The sequence below is a fragment of the Homo sapiens genome, chromosome 19, assembly GCF_000001405.40.
Source record: "Homo sapiens chromosome 19, GRCh38.p14 Primary Assembly".
Classification (NCBI taxonomy): Eukaryota; Metazoa; Chordata; class Mammalia; order Primates; family Hominidae; genus Homo; species Homo sapiens.
The window spans coordinates 53,107,879-53,133,141 of record NC_000019.10 but is presented as its reverse complement, the minus strand read 5'-3'; the positions used below and the strand labels follow the sequence as shown (position 1 = coordinate 53,133,141).

Sequence of the window (25,263 nt, the reverse complement as noted above, 5' to 3'; positions counted from 1 at the left end):
TCCCAGTTCCCGGACTGCTAAGCTGCAGGAGACTCCCTAGCAGGATCGGGTCCAACCTGCAGGCAAAATAGTTTTAACATAAACCGTTTTCAACTTGGTAAGTGGAAAACATTTTGGTTTCCACCATAAGTGGCCCACACAACTCTGATTTTTTTACCTTAAAGCGGCGCAGACCCCGCCCACTCCAGCCATTCCTTCAGGCTGCCCGGGCTCTTCTCTCCGCGCATGCGCAGTTTCCTACAGGCCCGGAAACGGATCGCGTTGGGTGAAGGTGACGGCGTCGAGCGTGAGTGACCCTCTGTGTAGATTAAACCTGCGCTCCCTGTTTCCCATTTCCACAGCCGATGTCCAGGGTCGATACGGCCCTTAAAATCCCCGTACACTCCACCCCAGGTGAATACAGGCCTCGCAGTGTGGGTCCGGAGTCGCTTCCCTTTGGGTTGAAGTCGCTTTGAGGCTGCTCCCCGTCCCCGGCCTTTTGCTTCTTCCTCCCGCTTAAAACCTTTTCCTGACCCCCTCCCCCATCCCCGGGCTTTTTAAAGTCTTCACCCAAGAGGTGTATTCCCGTCCTGGGTGCCTCCCAGCCTTGCCCTCGTCGGCCCCTGGAGCGCAGCGCCGCAGCTGCAGCCGCAGTCCCGGGGAGCCTTGCGTCCTCTGCCTGGTCCTGGGATCCTGCAGACCCCACCCCTGTCTGAAGGCGCTGTCGCGCCCCACCTCCCTCCTCCTCGTGCCGGGCCCCGCTGCTCCCCAGGCCTCCCCTGAGCCCGCGCTGGGGAGGTGCTCAGGGCCTGTCCTGTGACACCCGATGTTCTTGCCTGCCCTCCTCCACCCCGTGGAAAATGCGCTCCTCCAGGATGCAGGCGTCTTACCCCAAACCGTCCTGTGAATGTGTGGGCCAAAGGGATCGAGGGACAGAGAGAGCAGTAGAAAACCTGAGACAGGAAGGAATGAGGCAAACCAATAAACAGATGGCAAAGTAGAGGATGGTTAGAGATTTTCAGAGACAGTAAGAGTGGAAGAAGAAGCCGAGAAAGTAGCAGGGAGAGAAAAGTAACTAGACACATTTCGAGAAAAAGCACAGTATCCAGAGAGATGAAGGACAGCCAGGTAGGGAGAGGGGCAGCAAAGGAGGAGGCTCCTCAGACAGAGAGTGGGGGAGAGCAGAAGGGATTTGGAGCCAGGGCAGACAGGGCAGTGTGGTACCGGGACAGCAAGAGGGGGCAGCCGATGACAAGGAGAAGCAGAGGGAGAACCACAGCACGGGGAGGCCTGGGATCTGGGGGTGCCAAAGAGTGGGGACAACGGTGTGTAACAGGGAAGAGGGAATTTAACAGGGAGTGCTGAAATGGGGAAGAAAGAGCCAGAAATATGTGGAGACTGGGACAATGAAAAGATTAGGAAGAAAGAGGAATTAAATACATTGCAAGAATGGAAAGAGCAAGTGGAAGAGAAAGAATAGAGGGAAGACGGGGAGGAGCAGCAGGAGAGGAGAGGGGCTCAAAATGAGCAGAATCCTAGGGAGAAAATAAAGGGGAAGGAAAGAGCTAGAGAAAGAAGGTGAGAATGAGAGCGATGTACGGAACGAGGGAGGGAAACACACCATAATGAGGAAAGAGGGGGACCCCAGGTCCAGGTGAGTTGTGAACTGACTGGATGTGATGACTACCTTTTGACCTGTTGATTTCTGTCTTTATAAGTTTAAAATGCACAGATGATGAGAATTGCAAAGCTCCTGTCTATTAAGGCTGGTGCATTTTATAATTATGGCATCAGAAGTTAGCTTCCACTTGCAATCCCTGTTAAGGCAGAGGGAAGTGACTTGACTCATTAATTCCACAGGTCATCCTCTTCCCCTTCCCTGGCGTTGGGGCAGGGGGAGGGGAAGGGGGAGTGGGAGAGTAAAGCTGGGCAGAAAGTGAAAGACTGTCACTACATAGTGTCTCTCTAAAGCAGGGGTGTCCAATCTTTTGGCTTCCCTGGGCCACATTGGAAGAAGAATTGTCTTGGGCCACACATAAAGTACACTAACACTAACAATAGCTGATGAGCTAAAAAAAAAAAAAAAAAAAAAAAAAAAAGTTGCAAGAAAATCTCAAAATGTTTTAAGGAAGTTTAGGAATTTGTGTTGGGCTGCATTCAAAGCCTTCCTGGGCTGCGGATTGGACAACGTTGCTCAAAAGGAACATTAAAAGTGTTGAGGCTGGGCATGGTGGCTCATGCCTGTAATCCCAGCACTTTGGGAGGCCGAGGTGGGTGAATCACAAGGTCAGTAGTTCAAGACCAGCCTGGCAAAGATGGTGAAACCCCATCTCTACTAAAAATACAAAACTTAGCCAGGTATGGTGACACGCATCTGTAATCCCAGCTACTCAGGAGGCTGAGGCAAAGCATTGTGTAAACCCGGGAGGCGGAGGTTGCAGTGAGCCAAGAGCCGAGATCCGGTGACAGAGCAAGACTGCGTCTGAAAAAAAAACAAAGAACAAACAAAAAAAGTGTTGTTGCTTTTTGTAATTGATTTGCTTTTTTTCTTACTAATTCCCTTTCATCTCATGTATAGTTCATTTTGCAACTTGAGATAGATCTTCATTAATTCAGTTTCTATTTTTCTGTATATAATTATTTCCAAAGTAACTTTGGTGGCATCCTATAATCAGCTCATGGCATTTTCTAAATATAATGTGTTTTCAATTTTTTTAGCTCCAAAATTCATCAGATATTTCTTAACAATTTCAAAATCTTTCCCTTTGAAATTAATTGTGTCCAGTTTTGATAGAGGTCTGCATGCTTTCTGCTCTTTATTATATAATAGAAGCATTATTTGTTGACTAGTAGGTAATTTTAGATTGTTTCAATGTGTACCTGATAAAGATGTCAATGATGTTTTTACCTTAACATGGAAACCTAGTTTAACTAGTCTATTATTCAATTTTCTTCTTTTGTGTAATTTGTTAAAATAGTAAGCTGTGAGCTGCATTTGGAACCAATGTGATAAAACCTTGAAGAAGTTTCTTTTGCTCAGATATGTGAAAGAGGGTCTGGGAATTTTCTTTTTTTCTTTTCTTTTTTTTTTTTTTTGTGAGCTGGAGTCTTGCTCTCTCACCCAGGCTGGAGTACAGTGGTGCAATCTCGGCTCACTGCAACCTCCGCCTCCCGGGTTCAAGCGATTCTCCTGCCTCAGCCTCCTGAGTAGCTGGGATTACAGGCACAGGCCACCACACCCGGCTAACTTTTGTGTTTTTTGATAGAGATGAGCTTTCATCATGTTGGCCAGGCTGGTCTCAAACTCCTGGCCTCAAGTAATCTCCCCTCCTTCAGCCTCGAAGTGCTGGGATTACAGGCACGAGCCAACATGCCTGGCCAGTCCTGGAATTTTCTAAGGGAGATGTGATAAAGGCAAACACAGCCCATTGGCCCTTCCAGGTCGTGACATCATAATTCAGCCACATCTCCTCCTTCTCACTCAACTCAGACCTCTCAGGATAACTTGGTGAAATGACTCCCTCTCTCAGCCTCAGTGAGCCCACCTGTAACAGAGATAAGGGACTAGACCAGAAAACCTCAATGTGAGCAACACTGACTCCTGAAATTTGGGGCAAAATTGGGTGTGCATTTGTGTTTGGCAGTTGTATGTGGGGGGACTAGCCAGTTGCAATTAAAATTTTTATTTGGATTTCTTCCTCTAAAAATGAAAACAAGAATGTGAAGCAGGGACTCAGACACAGAGACCATCTTCGGGGCCTTTCTCTGTATGAGGACATCACAGAGAAATCTAAAGCAGGTCACGTCAGTCCCTGGCAGGGAACCCTCCACCAGCTTCCTGTGTTCCCCAGGACAAAAGCCCAACTCCTCACTGTGGCTCCACAGCCCTGTGTCCAGGGCCCCTGCCAGTGTCCAGCCTCCTCCTGGGAGCTTGCCCTCATCTCATGACTCCCTCTGCACCAGTCACATTTGCTTTTCTCTTTTCCCAAATGTCAAAACCCTTCCTGTCACGGGTCGTTGTCCCTGCTTTTACCCTATGTCCCTAAATGATCGTGACCCTGTCCCTTTTTCCTCCTTCGGGTCTAGACTGAGAGATGTCTCCCGTGCCCTCCCACCCCCATCTGAAATTCTCTCTGCCCGTCACTCTCTATCACATTATTCAGGTTTCACTGTCTCCGCATCCATCACCACATCGGACACTCTTCTGCGTGGATTATTTTGAGTGTTTTGTGTCTCCCTCCATTGGAGGACACAGTCTCCATCTGGGCCACGGGATGACTGCAGCACCTGCTCCGGGGTTGTGGTTCAGATGCTGGGGCTGGGGTTGGGCTGAAGACTCCTCAGGGAAGACCAAAAGGACAGGGCGGGTAGTGAGGATGGTCTCATATTCTGGAAATTTCATCTGTAATTGGTCTAAACTTCCTGTGGCTATTTATTCCAGTCTATGTAAGAGCAGAAGGCCTCACTGAGGCCTGAAAAGCCCCGCAGACCCTGTGTCCTCAGCCAGTGCCGAGGCGTCCCCACCGCCTTACTCCAGCTCCCGGGTCTTCCACGCTCTACACATCAGCGGGGCCCAGTGGCCATCCTGGGCAGGGGCTTTGCCTTCCAGCAGGTGATGCGCTCACAGTCAGGGGTCCTGGATTCCCTTCAGGAAGGGTGGCGAGAAGTTCAGAAGCTAAACGGGCCATGAAGGAGGCACTCCCTAAACAGCGGGGGAATTTGGCAGGGGACTGTGAGTGGAGAGACAAGGGGACAATGGCAGCCTCCCTCATGAGATCTGGGGCCTCTCTTTTTCTTGGACATCCTCCGTCAGCTCAGTCCAGCCAATCTTCACCTGCCTTTAAACTGGATTCCATGGTGTCCCCAAATTGGGGGCAATTCCTTCCAGCATGGCCAACTTCTAGAATCTAGACTTGAGGCCCACTGTCCTGCAGATAGCAGTTTGTGTCCATTCCTGCTTTTGTCCAGAGGCCCTTTTGCCTTTCAGCCTAGTGTGCTCTTCATGCATGGAAGAGAAGTAGAAAAATGAGGGAAAGTGAAGAAGCATTCTTGGAGGTGTCACATAGGGGCATGGAAGCAAGGTGGGCCTCTAGATGAGCCGGGTGAATGATGTGTACACCTGTCCCACGCATGCTTGTGGGATCAAGGAGTGAGTAGAATTGTAAAGGAATGTCTCAGGTCTGGCTGTAGCACATGGACGTGGGTTTATGGGTGGTTATGGGACTGCATGGATTAGTTTGGAAAGCCCTAGTATCTTTTTCTTTTTCTTTTTCTTTTTTTTTTTTTTGAGACGGTGTCTCGCTCTGTTGGCAGGCTGGAGTGCAGTGGTGCGATCCTGGCCCACTGCAACCTCCACCTCCTAGGTTCAAGCGATTCGCGTGCCTCAGCCTCCCGAGTAGCTGGGGCTACAGGCACGCGCCACCACACCCAGCTAATTTTTGTATTTTTAGTAAAGACGGGGTTTCACCATGTTGGCCAGGATGGTCTCGATCTCCTGACTTCGTGATCTGCCTGCCTCAGCCTCCTAAAGTGCTGGGATTACAGGTGGGAGCCACCACGCCCGGCCGATCAGGAAGCTTTCAGATGCATTTTGAAAGATAGAAATAACAGTTTGGAGTGTTTTCTTGGAAGATATTAGGATCTCATTGGGGCACGTGCATCATTAGAGACATCTCTGTTTTATTGGTAGGCTTTGGTGGTACTTTTGTGTGGGGTGGAGTCACTATGAGTGGAAATAAATACATTGTCGTGGGTCAGTGAGACCCTAAGATATTTATGTGTATTATTTCATTGTTACTGGGACTTGCGAAATTTCGTAGCCGGGCTTCTATAAACCCTGTGTCCTCAGGCAGTGCCTGACCTTTATGGACTATCTGGGGAGTGCAAGACCCCATGGGAGTTTGTAAGCGTGTCTGAGTCCAGAGGGCAACGGGGATCCTAAGAATCAGGCGCAGATGGCTTTCATTAGGGAGGGTTTGTTGTGGGGGCGTCTGTGGGTGCAACTCAAGAGGGAGTGATTATCAGGGTCCCAGAGTAAGGGAAAGATTTCTCCAAGAATCAGAGTGAAACACAGCACACTGACCTGCGGCCCAAAGGCTTCCACTGGGACTGTCCTTGGGAAGATAAAGCTGCCACATTCTTGCAGCCAGGCCGGTGGCCTCTCCCTGTTTATTCCAAGATAACAGAGTCACAGAGTCACAAGGCAGCTGGGGAGCTGAGGGGCAAGGTCCTTGAAACCCGCTGTGGAACATGGACCTTTCTCCAGTGCAGAGGGGCCACGGGGCCCTGGGAAGGGAGTTGGAGGGTTACAGCCCTGGTCATGGCAGGGAGACGCAGGAACTGGAGGCAGGAAGAGCTGTGTTCATCCCCACAGGGTGCCCCTCCGCTCAGGAATTTGTGCAATAGAATGGGGTGAGCTAATGGGGTCACATTTAGGGAAAGGAGTCTTTCTGTCCACCCAACACACATCTCATCCTATGCACACGCTTCTCCCTTTCCCCATTGTCCTCTCTATGATGGGAAACTAATGCTTCCCTAGGCGGGTGATTGAGGGAGAGGAGGGGTTGGTCTGCTTGTGTCTCTCCTTTCTCCCCTCCCTCAAGTCTCCTGCCTGCCTTTCTGCTGCTCTGTTCAGACTCTCACTTCCTGCAGTTCTGCAGTCAGTTTGCCCCACGCAAGACCCAAGGATCTGGGTCTGTGAATAATATTCAAGCCAACATCATTGCCAAGTGAGAAATCTTAGACCCCAGGACCTTTTTTCCATGGAGGGGCCTGGGCACAGAGACAAACTCTTCTTTTTGCAGAATTTAGGGTCTTTTATTGGCCACGTGGGTCTGCTGAGCCTCAGACAGGGATCCCATAGTCAGCCAGATGTGTTTCTGGGTGGACTTGCGCTTGCCCTTCCACAGGTTGGTAAGCAGAGTGGTCTCCATGAAGGGCCCTTGGCTCTGCCCCTCAGCTGGTCCTGCTCAGGTCCCTTCTCACTCTCGGTGAAGACAATCCTCAGGTGAAACAGGACCCCTGCACACATCAGTCCCTCAAAGTGAACACCGTACCAGAGGGTGCACTAGTGTCACCCTGTATCATTCTGCTCATTTATTCAACAAATACTCCGTCATGTGCCAGGCTCTTTTTTTTTTTTTTTGTCTACACCAGGAATAATAATGGTAAAACAAAAGAATATGTGCCTCTACCATATCCAGTTTATTTTATTTTATTTTATTTTTTGAGATGGAGTCTCACTCTTGCCCAGGCTGTAGTGCAGTGGCGTGATCTTAGCTCACTGCAACCTCTGCCTCCCAGGTTCAAGCAATTCTCCTGCCCCAGCCTCCCAAGTAGCTGGGACTACAGGCGCGTGCCACCATGTCCGGCTAATTTTTGTATTTTTAGTAGAGATGGGGTTTCACCATGTTAATCAGGCTGGCCTCAAACTCCCGACCTCGTGATCTGCTTGGGCTCCCAAAGTGCTGGGATTACAGGCGTGAGCCACCGCGCCTGGCTCCAGTTTATTTTTAAAATGATAGTGATATGGCAGGCATGGTTGCTCACGCCTGTAATCCCAGCACTTTCAGAGGCTGAGACAGGACGCTCACTTGAGCCCAGTTTGAGACGAGCCTAGGTAACATAGTGACACCTTGTCTCTATAAAAAATTTAAAAATCAGCCAGATGTGGTGGCTCGTGCCTCTTGTAGTCCTAGCTACTCGAGAGGCTGAGGTGGGAGGATTGCTTCAGCACAGGAAGCCGAGGCTGCACTGAGCCAGCATCACATCACTGCACTCTAGCCTGGCCAACAGCAAGATCCTGTTTAAAAAAAAAAAAAAGGCCAGGCGCGGTGGCTCACACCTGTAATCCTATCACTTTGGGAGGCTGAGGCGGGCAGATCATGAGGTCAGGAGATCGAGACCATCCTGGCCAACATGGTGAAACCCCGTCTCTACTAAAAATACAGAAATTAGCCGGGCATGGTGGCATGTGCCTGTAATCCCAGCTACTCGGGAGGCTGAGGGAGGAGAATCACTTGAACCCGGGAGGCGGAGGTTGCAGTGAGCCGAGATCACGCCACTGCACTCCAACCTGGTGACAGAGTGAGACTCCGTCTCAAAAAAAAAAAAATTGGACATAAACAGACCCTTTCAGTTACTAGATGATTTGCAAGTCAAGTGCACTAAATCATTTGTTTCTCCCAGACATCCCCACATCCAGCTCCGTTACTCTGCTTCTGTCCCTGTGTAGCTGACCACAGCCTGGAGAAAACATACAGCCAGAATTCCTGGTGTCATTTAATTCCTGCCCCGCACCTCTTCCATTCTCCTATTTTTCTATTCTGCACCTTGTCTCTGGAGATTTTCTTTCTTCTTTTTGCTCATTTAAAGGCCTTGGTTTTTTTCACCGTTGAGTCCCTGGAAGCAAGGAAGAGATCTTTTCCAACTTACCCACCCACCTGTCTCAGGGCTTGGGATCCCTACTCAGTAGTGACTGGGAATGGTCTGTTCCTGCTCCTGGCTGCTACTAACCCTCCAATTGTGTACCACACGCCAGCCCCACTCATAGCCTCAGAATGTGCAATTGTTAGGATATGATTTGTTTTGCCCCACCAACTCTCATGTTGAAATGTGATTTCCAAAGTTGGAGGTAGGGCCTGGTGAGTGTCATGGGAGCAGATCTCTTGGGAATGGCTTGATGTCATTCTCTAGGGAGTGAGTTCTGACTCTTAGTTCCCCTGAGAGCTGGTTGTCAAAAAGCCTGACCTCTCTCTCTCTCTCTCTCTCGTCTCCTCTCTCACCATTTTGTCTGCCCTGCTGGCGCCCCTTCACCCTCCACCCTAAACGGAAGCTTCCTGAGGCCCTCATCAGAGGCAGATGCTGGCACTGTGTTTTGTACAGCCTGCAGAACCATGAGCCAAATAAACCTCTTTTTTTTTTTTGAGACGGAGTTTTTCTCTTGTTGCCCAGGCTGTAGCAGTGGCGCGATCTCGGCTCACCGCAACCTCTGCCCTCTGGGTTCAAGCGATTCTCCTGCCTCAGCCTACCAAGTGGCTGGGATTACCAGTGCCTACCACCATGCCCGGCTAATTTTTTTGTATTTTTAGTAGAGATGGGGTTTCACCACATTGGTCAGGTGGGTCTCGAACTCCTGACCTCAGGTGATCCACCTGCCTCGGCCTCCCAAAGTGGTGGGATTACAGGTGTGAGCCACTGCGCCTAGCCTTCTCCTCAACTTTCTGCTAGGACATGTAACAGGTATCTCCACTTTCAGGTGTCCAAAAGTGACTTCCTGACTCCCTAGATGCATTCCCCTGCAGTCCTGCACATCTCAGATGAGCGGGACCATGTATTTCGTGGGACTTTCAAATATATAAGATTTTACATTGTAAGTGGGTTAATTTATAAAGAAAATATTATATATTTAATTAAAATGGGTGAGGAAATACATCATTTCCAAAATTCTTTTGAGGTGTGGGAGAAAAATGTTTGACAGCATCTGCCCTGCCTGATCTGCCCTCCCAGGACCTCTCTGACCTCATCTCCTGCCTGTGTCCTCCTCGCTCCCTCTGCTCCAGCCAAGCATGCGTCCTTCCTGTTCCTGGGCCGAGCTTGCTCCTGCCTCAAGGCCTTCACGTGGGCTGTGCCTCTGCTGGAACTCGCTGGCCCCTCAGCTGCAGGTGCAAACACCCCTCCTTCCCCAGGTCTCGGTTCCAATATCACCTTCTCAGCGGGGACTTCTGTGACCCACTTCCCATTTCACACTCCAGCTACACCCTCACCCCCACCTCTGGTCCATATTACCTCCTCTGCATGCTTCTCTTGATTCTTTCTGCTTCCACTGTCTGGATCCTGATGACACCAAGGTCTCAAGGGGAGAATAGAGTCAGAAGGTGGGGGCTATGCTGGGCTGACCACATGTGAGTAGAGCTACCCCCTGGCTTCATATGAAAGTGCTGGGGTACTTTGCAGATATACCTCTTGTGCCCCCATCCCTGTCCCAGAGATTCCCATTCACACAGGTTGGGACCCACCCTCGATAATACAGTGCCCAACATGATTCTAATCTATATCCAGCCCTGAACACCAAGGCTCTGTGTCCTCTATTTCTGAGGGCTGAGCCCAGCCTGGGATCCAGAGAGGGAAAGGGGGCTGTGCTCTGCATGGGGTTTAATCAGGGCTGGGTCTCCTCCCCACTGCTGCAGCATGTGTGTGAGCTTCTCCAGGAGGGGAGGGAGTTCTGAAGAAAGGGGTCAGAAGACTCATGTATTGGTTTTCCTGTAGGAGTTTCTTGTCCCTGGGGCCACCCTGGTGTAGTGGGCGGCAGAGGACCGTCTTTGCACAGGGCGAGCTCCTCCCTGTGTATGTGTGTGCTTGTCACACAAGAGGGGGTGTGTTGTTTCTAAGCAATAAACAGCACTTGTTGTTGTTATTCAGCATTGACTTCCAAAGACTCCTGGCACATGAGGAAGAAACCCAGAAGAGGAGAGCAAAGGAGTCAGGAATGGCTTTTACTCAGGTAAAGAAAGATTCTGTGTGGATCATTCTGTCTCCCTCTTTTCAGAAAGGTGGGAGACAATGCCTTGGAGCTGCAAATCTTCTCTGAGTCTGAAGCATCCTGCCTGACGCGTTTGCTCACATTGACCCGTGCCTTCCCTCAGTCCTTCTCATCTCTACTGAGATTCCGTCTCACCCTGACCCTGTGACATGAACTTCTGAAGAGTCCACTGGGCATGGTCCTGGGAAGGGCTCACACCCAGACATGGATGGAGACGGGGTGAGGGTCCCGTGGTGTCAGTGCTGTTGGGCAGCAGGGATTGTTCAGGGGCCACATTTGGATGCACTGTCGGCTCTCCGTAGCCCAGGAATAGAGAAGCTGCCCATGGAAGTCATGTTTTTTGTTGTTTTTGTTTTTTGTTTGTTTGTTTGTTTTTGAGATGGAGTTTCATTCTTGTTGCCCAGGCTGGAGTGCAATGGCGCAATCTCGGCTCACTGAATCCTCTGCCTCCCGGGTTCAAGTGATTCTCCTGCCTCAGCGTCCCGAGTAGCTGGGATTACAGGCATGCACCACCACAACCAGCTAATTTTGTATTTTTAATAGAGACGGGGTTTCTCTATGTTGGTCAGGCTGGTCTCGAACTCCAGACCTCAGGTGATCCACCCACCTCGGCTTCCCAAAGTGCTGGGATTACAGGCATGAGACACCGTGCCTGGCCTAAAGTCAGGTGTTAATATAGACAAATACCTGGTAAATCCTGGAAAAGGCAGCCAATAAGGGGATATATTTTGTGCCTGATTTTGTAATCCAGATAAAACTAGTATATCAGTATGTCTCTGACTCCACACTGTTAATGACTTGGAATGGAATGTAAAGTTGAGATACAGACATCAGTACTAGAGGGCGTTTTATTCCTTTATTGACTTTGAAACATAAAGTCAACATAAAAGTGTAACTGTAAGGCCGAGCACGGTGGCTCAGGCCTATAATCCCAGCACTTTGGAGGCCGAGGTGAGCGGATCATTGTAGGTCAGGAGTTTGAGACCAGCAAACATGGTGAAACCCCGTCTTTACTAAAAATACAAAAATTAGCCAGGCGTGGTGGCGCACGCCTGTAATCCCAACTACTCAGGAGGCTGAGGTAGGAGAATCACTTGAACCTGGGAGGCAAAGGTTACAGTAAGTGGAGATCGCACCACTGCACTGCACTCCAGCCTGGGTGACAGGGCGAGACTCTGTGTCAACAACAACAACGACAAAAATAAAGTATAATTGTAGGACTTTTTTTTTTTTTTTTTGAGACGGAGTCTCAGTCTGTCGCCCATGCTGGAGTGCAGTGGCTCGATCTTGGCTCACTGCAACCTCCACCTCCCAGGTTCAAGTGATTCCTCTGCCTCAGCCTCCCAGGTAGCTGAGACTACAGGCACCCGCCACTATGCCTGGCTAATTTTTGTAGAGATGGGGTTTCACTATGTTGGCCAGGCTGGTCTTGAACTCCTGACCATATGATCTGCCTGCCTCGGCCTCCCAAAGTGCTGGGATTACGGGCGGGAGCCACTGTGCCCGGCCAGCTGTAGGACTTTTTTTTTTTTTTTTTTTTTTTTTGAGTCTTCCTCTGTCACCCAGGCTGGAGTGCAGTGGCGCGATCTCAGCTTACTGCAACCTCTGCCTCCCAGGTTCAAGCAATTCTCCTGCCTCAGCCTCCTGACTAGCTGGGATTACAGGCACGCGCCACCACACCTGGCTAATTTTTGTATTTTTAGTAGAGACGGGGTTTCACCGTGTAGGTCAGGCTGGTCTCCAACTCCTGACCTCGTGATCCATCCACCTCGGCCTCCCAAAGTGCTGGGATTAGAGGCATGAGCCACCGCGCCCAGCCAAGTTTTTAAACCATTCTCAGCACTTGCATACCACGGAGATGGTGCTATTCCTGCAGGGTCTCTTAGGCATCAGATATTTTAGGTAAAAATGGTAACAGTTTTGCTCAGACATCAGAGCAGAACTCCTTTTTCATTAAAGAGGATATATCCATATTCTTATTATATGTATTGTTATTAAGTATTATGCTGCTTTTATTTTAAACATCACATGATGTATATATTTGTTTTATGGTGAAACTCTCAATAGAGATATTTAGTGCTTAGATATAGAGTATCCCTTTTCCTGTCAAGCCTTACACCCTCACACAGGTCTCAGTGGTGAGCCACTATTGTCAGTTCTGTGAGAACAGACAGCTCAAGCCCTGTTGAAATGTGTTTAATCATTGTGAGATTTTAGAACAATATTGTCAGTAAATGTTTTGTTAGGGTATTCTATCCTGCAAGTTGTGAATATTTACACGTTTTCGTATTAAGGAACAAGGATAGCTTGCTCCTTTTTCAAGTTGATACATAATATTGGTTCATATTTAAGGGGCAGATGTGATATTTTGTTACGTGTGTCATAGAATGTGTAATGATCAAGTAATGGTATTTGAAGTGTCTATTACCTTGAGTATTTATCATTTTTATGTGTTGGGAATATAGCAAAATATTCAATTTGCTAGTATTTTGATGAGGATTTTTACATCTGTGTTCAGGAGGGATTTCGGCCTATAGTTTTCCTTTTTTTTTTCTTTTCTGGTTTGATATCGGGAATGCTGGCTTCATAGAATGAGTTAAGGAGAATTCCCTCCGTTTCAATTTTAGTTTGAGGAGAATCAGTCTTAGTTCTTCTTTGAAAGTTTGATAGAATTCGGCAGTGAAGCCATTTGGTCCCAGACTTTTCTTTGTTCAGAGACTTTTTATTCCTGATTAAATTTCATTATTGGTCTGTTAAGGTTTTCTGAATCTTCCTGATTCAGTCTTGGTGCTTCGTGTCCAGGATTTTATCCATTTCCTCTAGGTTTTCTAGTTTGTTAGTGTGTAGTTATTTATAATAGTCTCTGATGATCTTTTATATTTCTGTGTTATCAGTTGTAACGTATCCATTTTATTTCTGATTTTGTTTATTGGGTCTTCTTTTTGATTAATCTAGCTAGTAGTTTATAGATTATATTATCTTTTTTAAAAATAACCAACATTTCATTTTGTTGATCCTTTGTGTTTTTGTAGTATTTATTTTGTTTAGTTCTGCTCTGATCTTTGTTATTTTTTTCTTTCTACTAATTTTGGGTTTGATTTGTTCTTGCTTTCTTAGTTCCTTGAGGTGCATTGTTAGACTGTCTATTTAAATTTTTTTTTTTTTTTTTTTTTTTTTTGAGATGGAGTCTTGCTCTGTCACCCAGGCTGGAGTGCAGTGGTGCAATCTTGGCTCACTGCAACCTCCACCTCCCTGGTTCAAGCGATTCTCCCATCTCGGCCTCCAGAGTAGCTGGGATTACAGGCACATACCTGGCTAATTTTTGTATTTTCTTTTTTTTTGAGACGAAGTCTCCCTCTGTCGCCCAGGCTGGAGTGCAGTGGCTCGGTCTGGGCTCACTGCAAGCTCCGCCTCCTGGGTTCATGCCATTCTCCTGCCTCAGCCTCCCGAGTAGCTGGGACTACAGGCGCCCACCACCACACCCAGCTAATTTTTTTGTATTTTTTTAGTAGAAGCGGGGTTCACCATGTTAGCCAGGATGGTCTTGATCTCCTGACCTCGTGATCCGCCCGCCTTGGCCTCCTAAAGTGCTAGGACTACAGGCGTGAGCCACTGCGCCCGGCCTAATTTTTGTATTTTTAGTAGAGATGGGGTTTTACCATCTTCGCCAGGGTGGTCTTGAACTCCTGACCTCAGGTGATCCACCCACCTTGGCCTCCCAAAGTGCTGGGATTACAGGAGTGAGCCACCGTGCCTGGCTTATTTGAAATTTTTCTACTTTTTCCAAGTAGGTGTTTATTACTATAAACTTCCCTCTTAGCATTGCTTTTGTTGTATTCCATAGGTTTTGACATATTGTGTTTCCATTTTTACTTGTTTCAAGATTTTTTTTTTTTAATTTCCCCCTTAATTTCTTCCTAGACCCAGTGGTCATTTAGGAGCATGTTGTCTAATTTCCATGTATTTGCCAGTTTTCAAAGTTTCTCATGGTATTGATTTCTAATTTTATTCCATTGTTGTTCTAAGAAGATACTAAGATTTTGATATTTTAAAAATGTGTTGAGACTTGTTTTGTGTTCTAATATGTAGTCTGTCTTGGAGAATGTTCTATGCGCTGATGCAAAGAATGTGTATTCTGTACTTGTTGGATGAAATGTTCTGTAAATATCTCTTAGATCTGTTTAGTCTAAAGTGCAGTTTAAATTCAGTGTTTCTTTGTTAATTTTCTGTCTAAATCAGCTGTCTAATGCTGAAATCCCTAACTATTATTATTTTTGGATTGTGTCTCTCCCTTTAAATCTAATAATATTCGCCCTATATGTCTGGATGCTCCAGTGTTGGGTGCATATATGTTTAGAATTGTTATATTCCTCTTATTGAATTGATCTCTTTATTAGTATATAATGACCTTTTTCATCTCTTTTACTGTTTTTAACTTAAAATTCATTTTGTTAGATTGAAGTAGAGGTACTTCTGCTTGCTTTTGGTTTCATTTGCATATAATACCTTTTTTCATATTTTCACTTTGAGTCTATTTGTGTCTTTACATTGACATGAGTTTCTTAAAGGTAGCATATAGTTGGGTTACACGCTTGTATCAATTTAGCCAGTCTATATCTTTTATGTGGAAAGTTTAATCCATTTACATAAAGTTCATTATTGATATGCGAGGGCTTATTACTGTCACTTTATTAATTGATTTCTGGTTGTTTTGTATGTTTGCTCCTTTCTCTAATTGTTTTTCATTGTGGTTTGGTGGTTTTCTATAATAGTAACATTTACATTTGACTCCTTTCCTTACTTGCATGTTTGCTCTAACAGTGGGTTTTATAGTATTGTGTGTTTTCATGACGGCCAATATTGTCCTTTTGCTTCTAGATGTAGGGATCCCTTAAGCATTTCTTGTAGGGCCAGTCTAGTGGTGAAGAATTCCCTCAGGCTTTGCTTCTCTGGGAAAGACTATTTCTCCTTTTTATGAAGGATAATTTTGCTGAGTATAGTATCCTTGGCTGGCAGGGTTTTTTTTTCTTTCAGCACATTTAATGTATCATACCATTCTCTGTTGGCCTGTAAGGTTTCTATTGAGAAATTTCCTGTTTTATGGAGCACCCTTTATAAGTGACTAGATGCTTTTCTCTTGCTGTTTTTTTTTAGAATTCTCTTTCTTTCTTTTTTTTTTTTGAGACGGAATTTCGCCCTTGTTGCCCAGGCTGAAGTGCAATGGTGTGATCTCGGCTCACCGCAACCTCCACCTCCCAGATTCAAGCAATTCTCCTGCCTCAGCCTCCCGAGTAGCTGGGATTACAGGCATGCACCACCACGCTCGGCTAGTTTTGTATTTTTAGTAGAGATGGGGTTTCTCCATGTTGGTCAGACTGGTCTCGACCTCCCAACCTCAGGTGATCTGCCCACCTTGGCCTCCCAAAGTGCTGGGATTACAGGCGTGAGCCACCACGCCCAGCCGAATTCTCTTTCTTTTTCTTTGACTTTTGACAGTTTGACTATAATGTGCCAAGAAGACATTTTTGGATTGTATCTCTTTGAGAATCTATGAAATTCCTGTATCTAGATATCTAAACCTTTTACTATACTTAGGAAGTTTTTGGTTATTATTTTGTTAAATAGCTTTCTATCTTTTTTGATTTTCTCTCCACCTTCTGGGACACCAAAAATTCAAATATTTGGTCACCTTATGGTGCCTGCCCCATATGTCACATAGGCTGTGTTCATTCTTTTTTATTTCTTTCTTTATTTTTGTCTGACTCGTTTATTTCAAAAGACCTGTCTTCAAGTTCTGAAATTTTTTCTTTTGCTTGATCCCTAGTTCATTGTTGAAGTTTTCAAATGTACTTTGTACACACATGCCTATAGTCCAGCTACTTGGAAAGCTAAGGTTGGAGGGTCACTTGAACCTGGGAGATTGAGTCTGCAGTGAGCCATGATCATGCCACTGCACTTCAGCCTGGGCAGCAGAGCGAGACCTTGTCTCAAACCAAAAAAAAAAAAAAAGAGAGAAAAAAAACCACAATTAGGGAGAGATATGTACTCAAAAATACCTTAGTGTGGATTTATCAGAACACACACTTCAATTAAATCTATACTTAAATTCTCTTTTATTCTTATTTTGTGTGAAGATGGTAACTCCCTTCATAACCTCTTGGTGAAATGTGTTTATTATTTTACGGACAGTTGACATTCAGGGACGTGGCCATCGAATTCTCTCAAGATGAGTGGAAATGCCTGAACTCTACACAGAGGACTTTATACAGGGATGTGATGTTGGAGAACTACAGGAACCTGGTCTCCCTGGGTGAGGATAATTTTCTTCCAGAAGTCAAAATCTGCCCTTGGTATCTTTCCATTTTCCCTTGTGTGCCTCTTGGGAGCCCCTGCATTACCTGACTGAGTTTGAGGCCTTGTTGACTCTGAAATGAAAAGCTCCATAATGTGAACTCTGGAGTTTAACCATCCCCTTTTTCCAGATTTTCTGACCCCTTCATGATACAACAGTGGTGGTTCCAGAGCTGAAGTATCCATGAAAGCTTATGGTAGACTTCTGAAATACTCACTTCTTGTTTTCTGCCCCTGTGCTTTGATTCAGTAGTTCTTGGAAGGGAGCTAGATATTTGCATATTACAGTCTTCCCTAAGCATTCAGAGTTGGCATTCAGTGAAATAATTTGTGAAATATTTTCCTAGATCCATCTGTGATAGCCTCTCTTCTTATCCAAGCAAAGGGCTGAGATTCTTGAAAAGCCACAGCACATCATGTTCCATTCATTTTATAAGCGGGAAATTCTCTTCCTGACCAGAGTATTATCCTATGTGGGAGCACAGGAAAGAGCCCTGGACCATAGAAAGCCAAGTACGAGTAGCAAGAAAACCAAAAGGGTGGGAATGGATCAAAGGTGTGAAAACAGGTAAGACCTCAGATGAGGGGAGAGGAAGCCACACCATTACACTATGTTTGGAAACTCTTAGCAAGTGGGAGAGTTCTGTAGGAAAACAAATGTTTATATCCTGTGAGCTCTTAGAGGAAATTTTAAACTTCCCCTACTTCTCCCTCTGCTCTTGAGACGTGTCATAGTTGATCCTTTTGCTGTCCAGTGGGGGCTGCAGCTCAAACAGAGACAAATGGAAGTGCTCATCATGATGGACAGCATTGCCCTCTGACTTCCGTGAACTCTCTGGCTCCTTCACTCTGAGGGGTCCGGGAGGGGCCACATCACAAGGGTCTACTTCTCCCGTGGTCTCTCCTGTTATTTGTTGCTGTTGTTCTTTTTTTTTTGAGATGGAGTTTCGCTCTTATTGCCCAGGCTGGAGTGCAATGGTGCAATCTCGGCTCACTGCAACCTTCGCCTCCCGGATTCAAATGATTCTCCTGCCTCAGCCTCCCGAGTAGCTGGGATTACAGGTATGCACCACCATGCCTGGCTAATTTTGTATTTTTAGTAGAGACGGAGTTTCACCATGTTGGTCAGGCTGGTCTCAAACTCCTGACCTCAGGTGATCTGCCCGTCTCGGCCTCCCAGAGTGCTGGGATTACAGGCTTGAGCTGCCGCGCCCGGCCGGTCTCTCCTGTTCTTGATGCCACCTGATGCTCAGTTCGCTCTCCATATAGATCAGAGGGGAGGCCTCCACAGTCCTGATGCCTGGAGCTATCCATGCTCCACCCCATTTCTGGTGCTTGGAAGACCTGCCCACAAGATGGGAAACACTGGCTGCTCCTTCTTTGCATCTGAGGCCCCGGGGAGCTGCAAGGAGCTGTCTCAAGCCCTTTCTACCTGTTGTGGTCCCTCAGCCATTTCTTCTGTTCTGCTTTTGCCACAGTTCGTGGGTGTGTGGACCAGGGGAGGGAGTTGGTTCTTCTGGGATTGTTACTCTGCAGAACTGTAAGAACAGTTGACAGGTCTTCACTGGGATCCCCCGTCCTACACAGGGAGTACGTCTTAGTCTTTCAGGCTCTTAGCTTAGGATCCCTCTGTAGGCAGAGCAGACAATCCCATCTCAAGATCTTTCAAAATCTAGCCTCATATGTTGTATTTTTCTCTCTTTTCCGTTGGTCTCACTGCTATATGAATGTGGAAAAACCTTGGCTCTTCCTGATTTTGTTTTCTCTTAAGTTTGCATGATTTTTCCTCTGAAAACCAACTTTTGACCAGGTGCGGTGGCTCACGCCTGTAATTCCAGCACTCTGGGTGGCTGAGGTGGGCGGATCACCTGAGGTCAGGAGTTCAAGACCAACATGGTGAAACCCCGTCTCTACTAAAAATACAAAAGTTAGCCAGGTGTGGTGGCATGCACCTGTAATCCCAGCTACTCAGGAGGCCGAGGCAGGAGAATCACATGACCCCAGGAGGCGGAGGTTGCAGTGAGCTGAGATGGCACCGCTGCACTACAGCCTGAGTAACAGAGTGAGACTCCGTTTCAAAAAAAAACAAACCCAGCTTTTGATATACACACTCCTGGAGTCTGTCATTTCTCTATTCCTGCTATGATAACCAACCTATAGGTTATGCATACCTTCTCCTGGAGTCTCTTGTGGAGGGTGTTTATATGATAACAGAAAATTTATGAGGGAAAACTCTTTAATATAATTGAATAGCATCCTGCTACATGTAGAGATGCCCCTTAAAGCGTTCAGCAGAATTGTCAGCATGGCTCAGGATATAAGATACAAAATATCAGGCGAGCCTGACTGACAAGTGTGTCCAGATGTCCTTCTAGTTTTGAGGAGCCTCACAAAAGTGTACCTGGAGGGCACTGTGACAGCGCTGGACACATAAACTAATGATCATCTCCCCTAAGCCAGCAGTTGGTGTGGGAGTTTCTCCTAGCGATGACATTGTTCAAGTTCACAGCATCATATGTATGAGGCTCTTGACTAAACTATTGTTCACACCACATTTGTTCATTTTCCATCCTGTGTGCACCATTGTTCATTCTCATCAACAAACCTTTGTTCAGCCTGGGTTCAATTTGTTGTAGGTTCAAACCTCCCTCTTGTGGAGGGAGCTTGTGAAGCTGAATGATGCCTTGGTTTTTTTTCGTTTGTTCTTTTTTTGCTTTACACTGCTGTAATGCCTCGGTTTTTTTTTTTTTTTTTTTTTTTTTTTTGAGACGGAGTTTCGCTCTGTCGCCCAGGCTGGAGTGCAGTGGCGCGATCTCGACTCACTGCAAGCTCCGCCTCCCGGGTTCACGCCATTCTCCTGCCTCAGCCTCCCGTGTAGCTGGGACTACAGGCGTGCGCCACCATGCCCGGCTAATTTTTGTATTTTTAGTAGAGACGGGGTTTCACCGTGTTAGCCAGGATGGTCTCGATCTCCTGACCTCGTGATCCGCCCGTCTCGGCCTCCCAAAGTGCTGGGATTACAGGCGTGAGCCACCGCGCCCGGCCAATGCCTCGGTTTTTAAAGTCCAGTGTCATTTGTTTAAGCCACTACTAGTTTCATCTTGTACATTTACATGTGGTATAAATGAACATCTTTTTCATTTAGTCGTAAATTCTGTATTTTTTATGATACTTTTTTTTTTTTTAAGATGGAGTTTCGCTCTTGTTGCCCAGGCTGGAATACAATGGCACAATCTCAGCTCACCGCAACCTCCACCTCCCAGGTTCAAGCGATGCTCCTGCCTCAGCCTCCTGAGTAGCTGGGATTACAGGCATGCACCACCACACCTGGCTAATTTTGTATTTTTAGTAGAGACAGAGTTTCTCCATGTTGGTCAGGCTGGTCTTGAATTCTCGACCTCATGTGATCCACCCGCCTCGGCCTCCCAAAGTGCTGGGATTACAGGCGTGAGCCACCACGCCTGGCCCCAAGGTCAGAATTGTAACTGTCCTAGTGGAATTATATCCCACACATGTGCATGCAGATTTTCCTCTGACATGCCCATTACTCCCTCTCCTGTGCTCTTGCCCTTCCTCTCTCCTATCCTCACATGATACCTTGATCTGCATGGAATATACTGTTGCTTTTTAGCATATTGGTTTTGTATTCCTGAAAACCCCAATTGCCACAGGACTTCCTCACCCTCCACACTACTCTCACTATGCAAGACAAGACACTACTCAACCGCTTTATAAGTCAGGATCTGCCTAAATCAGTATGTGTAGGAAGTGATGACTCAGATACCATTATCCATGAGAGCTGACTGACTAGATGCATTGGTGGTGTAGTGGTGAGCATAGCTGCCTTCCATGAGAGCTGACTGAATAACACTATTATCAACACAGCCCAGCTCTTGTAGCTCCTTTTCTTCATATGCTCCTCGCCTGGGTGCATTCTTGCTGTGACTGATAGTTTTCCACACTGCACATGTCCACCCAGGTTTTCCACACTGCCTGTGGGTGGACATGTGCTTAAAAACACGTCTGATGGCCCGGCGTGGTTGCTCACGCCTGTAATCCGAGTACTTTTGGAGGCTGAGGTGGGCGGATCACTTGAGGTCAGGAGTTCGAAACCAGCCTGGCCAACATGGTTAAACCCCTTCTCTACTAAAAATACAAAAAAAGTAGCCGGGCATGGTGGCAGGTGCCTGTAATCTCAGCTACTCAGGAGGCTGAGCCAAGAGAATTGCTTGAACCTGGGAGGCGGAGGTTGCAGTGAGCCGAGATCACACCACTGCACCCCAGCCTGGGCAAAAGAGCGAGACTGTGTCTCCAAAAATAAAAATAAAAAAAAGTCTGAGCCTGCTGGCCCAGGATTTAGTCTTGTTTTTCTCTCTTATTTTCTGTGAAAATTTAGGTTAGATACATGAATACCATGGGCCTAATGTGTTTATTTGAAAAATAATAACAATTTACTTGAAAGTTTTTAAAACAAGGTGGTGGTGTGTGATTACTTGGAATATTGCATGTCTTACAGTAAAGTCCCAAAGTTTGTTTAATAAGATTGATCAGCCTTCTGTGATGATTGTGATGAGATTGTCCTTTTTCTGTCTTATATAACTCATCGTGCCATAAGAAATATCATAGGCGGGCCGGGCGCAGTGGCTCACGCCTGTAATCCCAGCACTTTGGGAGGCTGTGGTGGGCAGATCACCTGAGGTCAGAAGTTCGAGACCAGCCTGGCCAACATACTGAAACCCCATCTCTACTAAAAATATAAAAATTAGCCAGGCATGGTGGTAGGCACCTGTAATCCCAGCTACTTGGGAGACTGAGGCAGGAGAATCGCTTGAACCCAGGAAGCAGAGGTTGCAGTTAGCCGAGATTGCGCCATTGTACTCCAGCCTGGGTGACAAGAGAAACTGGGTCTCAAAAAAAAAAAAAAAAAAAAAGAAATATCATAGGCTAGGAGAACTAAACCACAGAAATTTATATCTCCCAGACCTGGAAGCTGGGAAGTCAAAATTAAGGAGCCAGGTGAATCAGTTCCTGGTACTGGCTCGCTGACTGTCCCACATGATGGAAAGGGCAAGAGAAAACAAGCTCTTATGTTTTGTCCTGTAAGGGCATTAATCCTATTTTTGACTAGTCCAACCTCATGACCTAATTATATCCCAAACGCGCCATCTGCAACAACATCACACTGGAGGATAGGACCTTAGCATACGAATTTTGGCCAACATATTCAGACCGTAGAGACTGCATTATATTTTGTTTGATTTTATTTTCAATTCGTTTTAAACATTGTGTTCTCTGATTTCAGTTAATAAATTTTCCAAGTACAAACTCTTATGTATATTGTGTGGCTGATGAACTAGGTCATGAAAGGGCAATGCATATGTAGGGAATTGCGTTATTGACTGGCTGTTTGTTACATAAGTGCAGGTGTGAAGTCATAATTGTGATTTCTGACTTTGTTCTTCAATTCTTCTTTATAATGCTATGTGTTTACCTGACCTCATGCATCAAATGTCAGAGATCTTAACATATATTCCAGTTCACAGGTTGTGTGCTGGTTCTGAAATAGTTCTTGCTTTTTTCTTAGGAGAGAATCATTTACAGGCTATAACTTTGTACAAGTGTAGTTACTAGTTTTTGGTTTGCATTTTTATCATGGGTTACTACAGTGTTTTATTAATTAATTGTTATGGTTTACAGATGATGGGTTTTTAGTAAGTTTCATGCAATATAACTGACATGCATCACTCATTAATGTCAAAAATGCCTGGTCTAGGTGGGTACAGATATTTTCATAACAGGTATTCAGAAAAATTAGCTATTTTTAACAGTGTTTTATTAGTTTTTGTCTCGTTTTCTCAGTGCTATTACTGTTTTGCAATTCAGAATTATCATTTATGTATCTTACTTATTCCGTAAGTTTGTTGTGGCTTAGTTACCATTATGATATATTGTGTAGTACTTTTTTCATTTATATGGGCACAGTAAATATGCTGTGGCTAGGTAAAATGTAATATTTATTTCAATAATGAGACAGCCATGTATTTTCTGCCAATTGGTGTGTACTTTGCTGTCAAGGTGAAAAAATACTCCTTTCAGGGCTAACGTAGGTTTGTACAATGTGTTTTGGTCATAGGATGTTTGAATCTGTCCTTCCCTAGAATTTATTTGAATGCCATGTAATCACCCTTTTTTTACTAAAGAATGTGATTCCTTTGTGTTCGTAAAAATTAAAGATCATGATTGGGAAGTTTTATAACTCTGTTGTATATAAATGTTGCTTTTTGTGTAATTCTGTTATTCAGTATGAAATATTTATATACTGTCTCTAATTAATTGGAAACCTATGGTTTTCATTTCTTATAGATCTGTCTCGTAACTGTGTAATCAAGGAACTAGCACCACAACAGGAAGGTAACCCAGGAGAAGTATTCCACACAGTGACATTGGAACAACATGAAAAACATGACATTGAAGAGTTTTGCTTCAGGGAAATCAAGAAAAAAATACACGACTTTGACTGTCAGTGGAGAGATGATGAAAGAAATTGCAACAAAGTGACTACGGCCCCAAAAGAAAATCTTACTTGTAGGAGAGACCAACGCGATAGAAGAGGTATAGGAAACAAGTCTATTAAACATCAGCTTGGATTAAGCTTTCTACCACATCCCCATGAACTGCAGCAGTTTCAAGCTGAAGGGAAAATTTATGAATGTAACCATGTTGAGAAGTCTGTCAACCATGGTTCCTCAGTTTCACCACCCCAAATAATTTCTTCTACCATCAAAACCCATGTTTCTAATAAATATGGGACTGATTTCATCTGTTCTTCATTACTCACACAAGAACAGAAATCATGCATTAGGGAAAAACCTTACAGATATATTGAGTGCGACAAAGCCTTGAATCATGGCTCACACATGACTGTACGTCAGGTAAGTCATTCTGGAGAGAAAGGATATAAATGTGATCTGTGTGGCAAGGTCTTTAGTCAAAAATCAAACCTTGCGCGTCATTGGAGAGTTCATACTGGAGAGAAACCATACAAATGTAATGAATGTGACAGAAGTTTCAGTCGCAACTCATGCCTTGCACTACATCGGAGAGTTCACACTGGAGAGAAACCTTACAAATGTTATGAGTGTGACAAGGTCTTCAGTCGAAATTCATGCCTTGCACTACATCAGAAAACTCATATTGGAGAGAAACCTTACACATGTAAAGAGTGTGGCAAAGCCTTTAGTGTGAGGTCAACACTTACCAACCATCAGGTAATTCATAGTGGCAAGAAACCTTACAAATGCAATGAATGTGGCAAGGTGTTCAGTCAGACTTCAAGCCTTGCAACTCATCAGAGAATTCACACTGGGGAGAAACCATACAAGTGTAATGAATGTGGTAAAGTCTTCAGTCAGACTTCAAGCCTTGCAAGGCATTGGAGAATTCATACTGGAGAGAAACCTTACAAATGCAATGAATGTGGTAAGGTTTTCAGTTACAATTCACACCTTGCGAGTCATCGGAGAGTTCATACTGGAGAGAAACCTTACAAGTGTAATGAGTGTGGGAAAGCCTTTAGTGTGCATTCGAACTTAACTACCCATCAGGTCATCCATACTGGAGAGAAGCCTTACAAATGTAATCAATGTGGCAAAGGCTTCAGTGTGCATTCAAGCCTAACTACCCATCAGGTCATCCATACTGGAGAAAAACCTTACAAATGTAATGAGTGTGGCAAATCCTTTAGTGTGCGCCCAAACCTCACTAGACATCAGATAATCCATACTGGAAAGAAACCTTACAAATGTAGTGATTGTGGGAAGTCCTTTAGTGTGCGCCCAAACCTCTTCAGACATCAAATTATCCATACTAAGGAGAAACCTTATAAAAGAAATTAATATGGCAAGGTCTTCAGTCAAAGTTTAAATCCTGTGAGTCATCAAAGAATTTATATCAGAGAGAAACCATACAAGTATAATAAATGTGGCAAGGTTTTCAGTCACAATTCACTCCTACACAGCATCAGAGAATTTCATTCTTGAGAGAATCCTTACGAGTACAGCAAACCCTTCATCACAAGTTCAAGCATTCATTGACATCAGAGTCCATGCTAAAGAGAAATCATATACACCTAACTGTGTGGCAGAGGCTTCATTTAGGTCTCACAACTCACTAGACATCAAAATGTGTAAACATCTTTGTATATTTTGTGCATGTTGAAGCTATTAACCAAGGATCAAAACTGTAACACATCCAAGGATTTATGTGAGGAATAATTCAGTCTAGTTGTGCTGATAAACTTTTCATATTACACATTGTAGAACAAATGCAAGCCCAAATATGTTAAAACTCACACAACATGATATATATTAAAGGTTGCAGGATGTTTGAAGTCA

At 45.4% G+C, this 25,263-nt stretch overlaps 1 protein-coding gene across 48 annotated transcripts; it reads left to right on the top strand.

Annotated features, from left to right (window-relative positions):
- The first annotated feature begins 231 nt into the window (after nt 1-231).
- ZNF415 (zinc finger protein 415) lies at nt 232-25,263 on the top strand. Of its 48 annotated transcripts, none has more exons than NM_001330766.2 (7): nt 232-286; nt 9,487-9,641; nt 10,399-10,480; nt 16,709-16,829; nt 17,331-17,438; nt 17,835-17,932; nt 23,234-25,263. In NM_001330766.2, exons 4-7 carry the CDS (start codon nt 16,756-16,758, stop codon nt 24,763-24,765), a joined length of 1,812 nt encoding a protein of 603 aa, NP_001317695.1. In that variant the 5' UTR covers nt 232-286; nt 9,487-9,641; nt 10,399-10,480; nt 16,709-16,755; the 3' UTR covers nt 24,766-25,263. The 48 variants fall into 48 exon arrangements, with proteins under 48 accessions (NP_001317695.1, XP_024307367.1, XP_047295039.1 ...); XM_024451599.2 differs by having other exon boundaries at nt 17,810-17,932; XM_047439083.1 differs by lacking the exon at nt 10,399-10,480 and adding an exon at nt 10,526-10,738 and having other exon boundaries at nt 232-393.

Bases quoted from the DNA above. Each gene is read 5' to 3' on its own strand.
- ZNF415 (XM_047439079.1), top strand. From the start codon at position 3,493: ATGACTCCCTCTCTCAGCCTCAGTGAGCCCACCTGTAACAGAGATAAG. The intron at 3,564-9,539 runs GTGAGCAACACT...CCTCTGCTCCAG, and splicing joins CTAGACCAGAAAACCTCAAT to CCAAGCATGCGTCCTTCCTG. The intron at 9,642-10,398 runs GTGCAAACACCC...GTTGTTATTCAG, and splicing joins CGCTGGCCCCTCAGCTGCAG to CATTGACTTCCAAAGACTCC.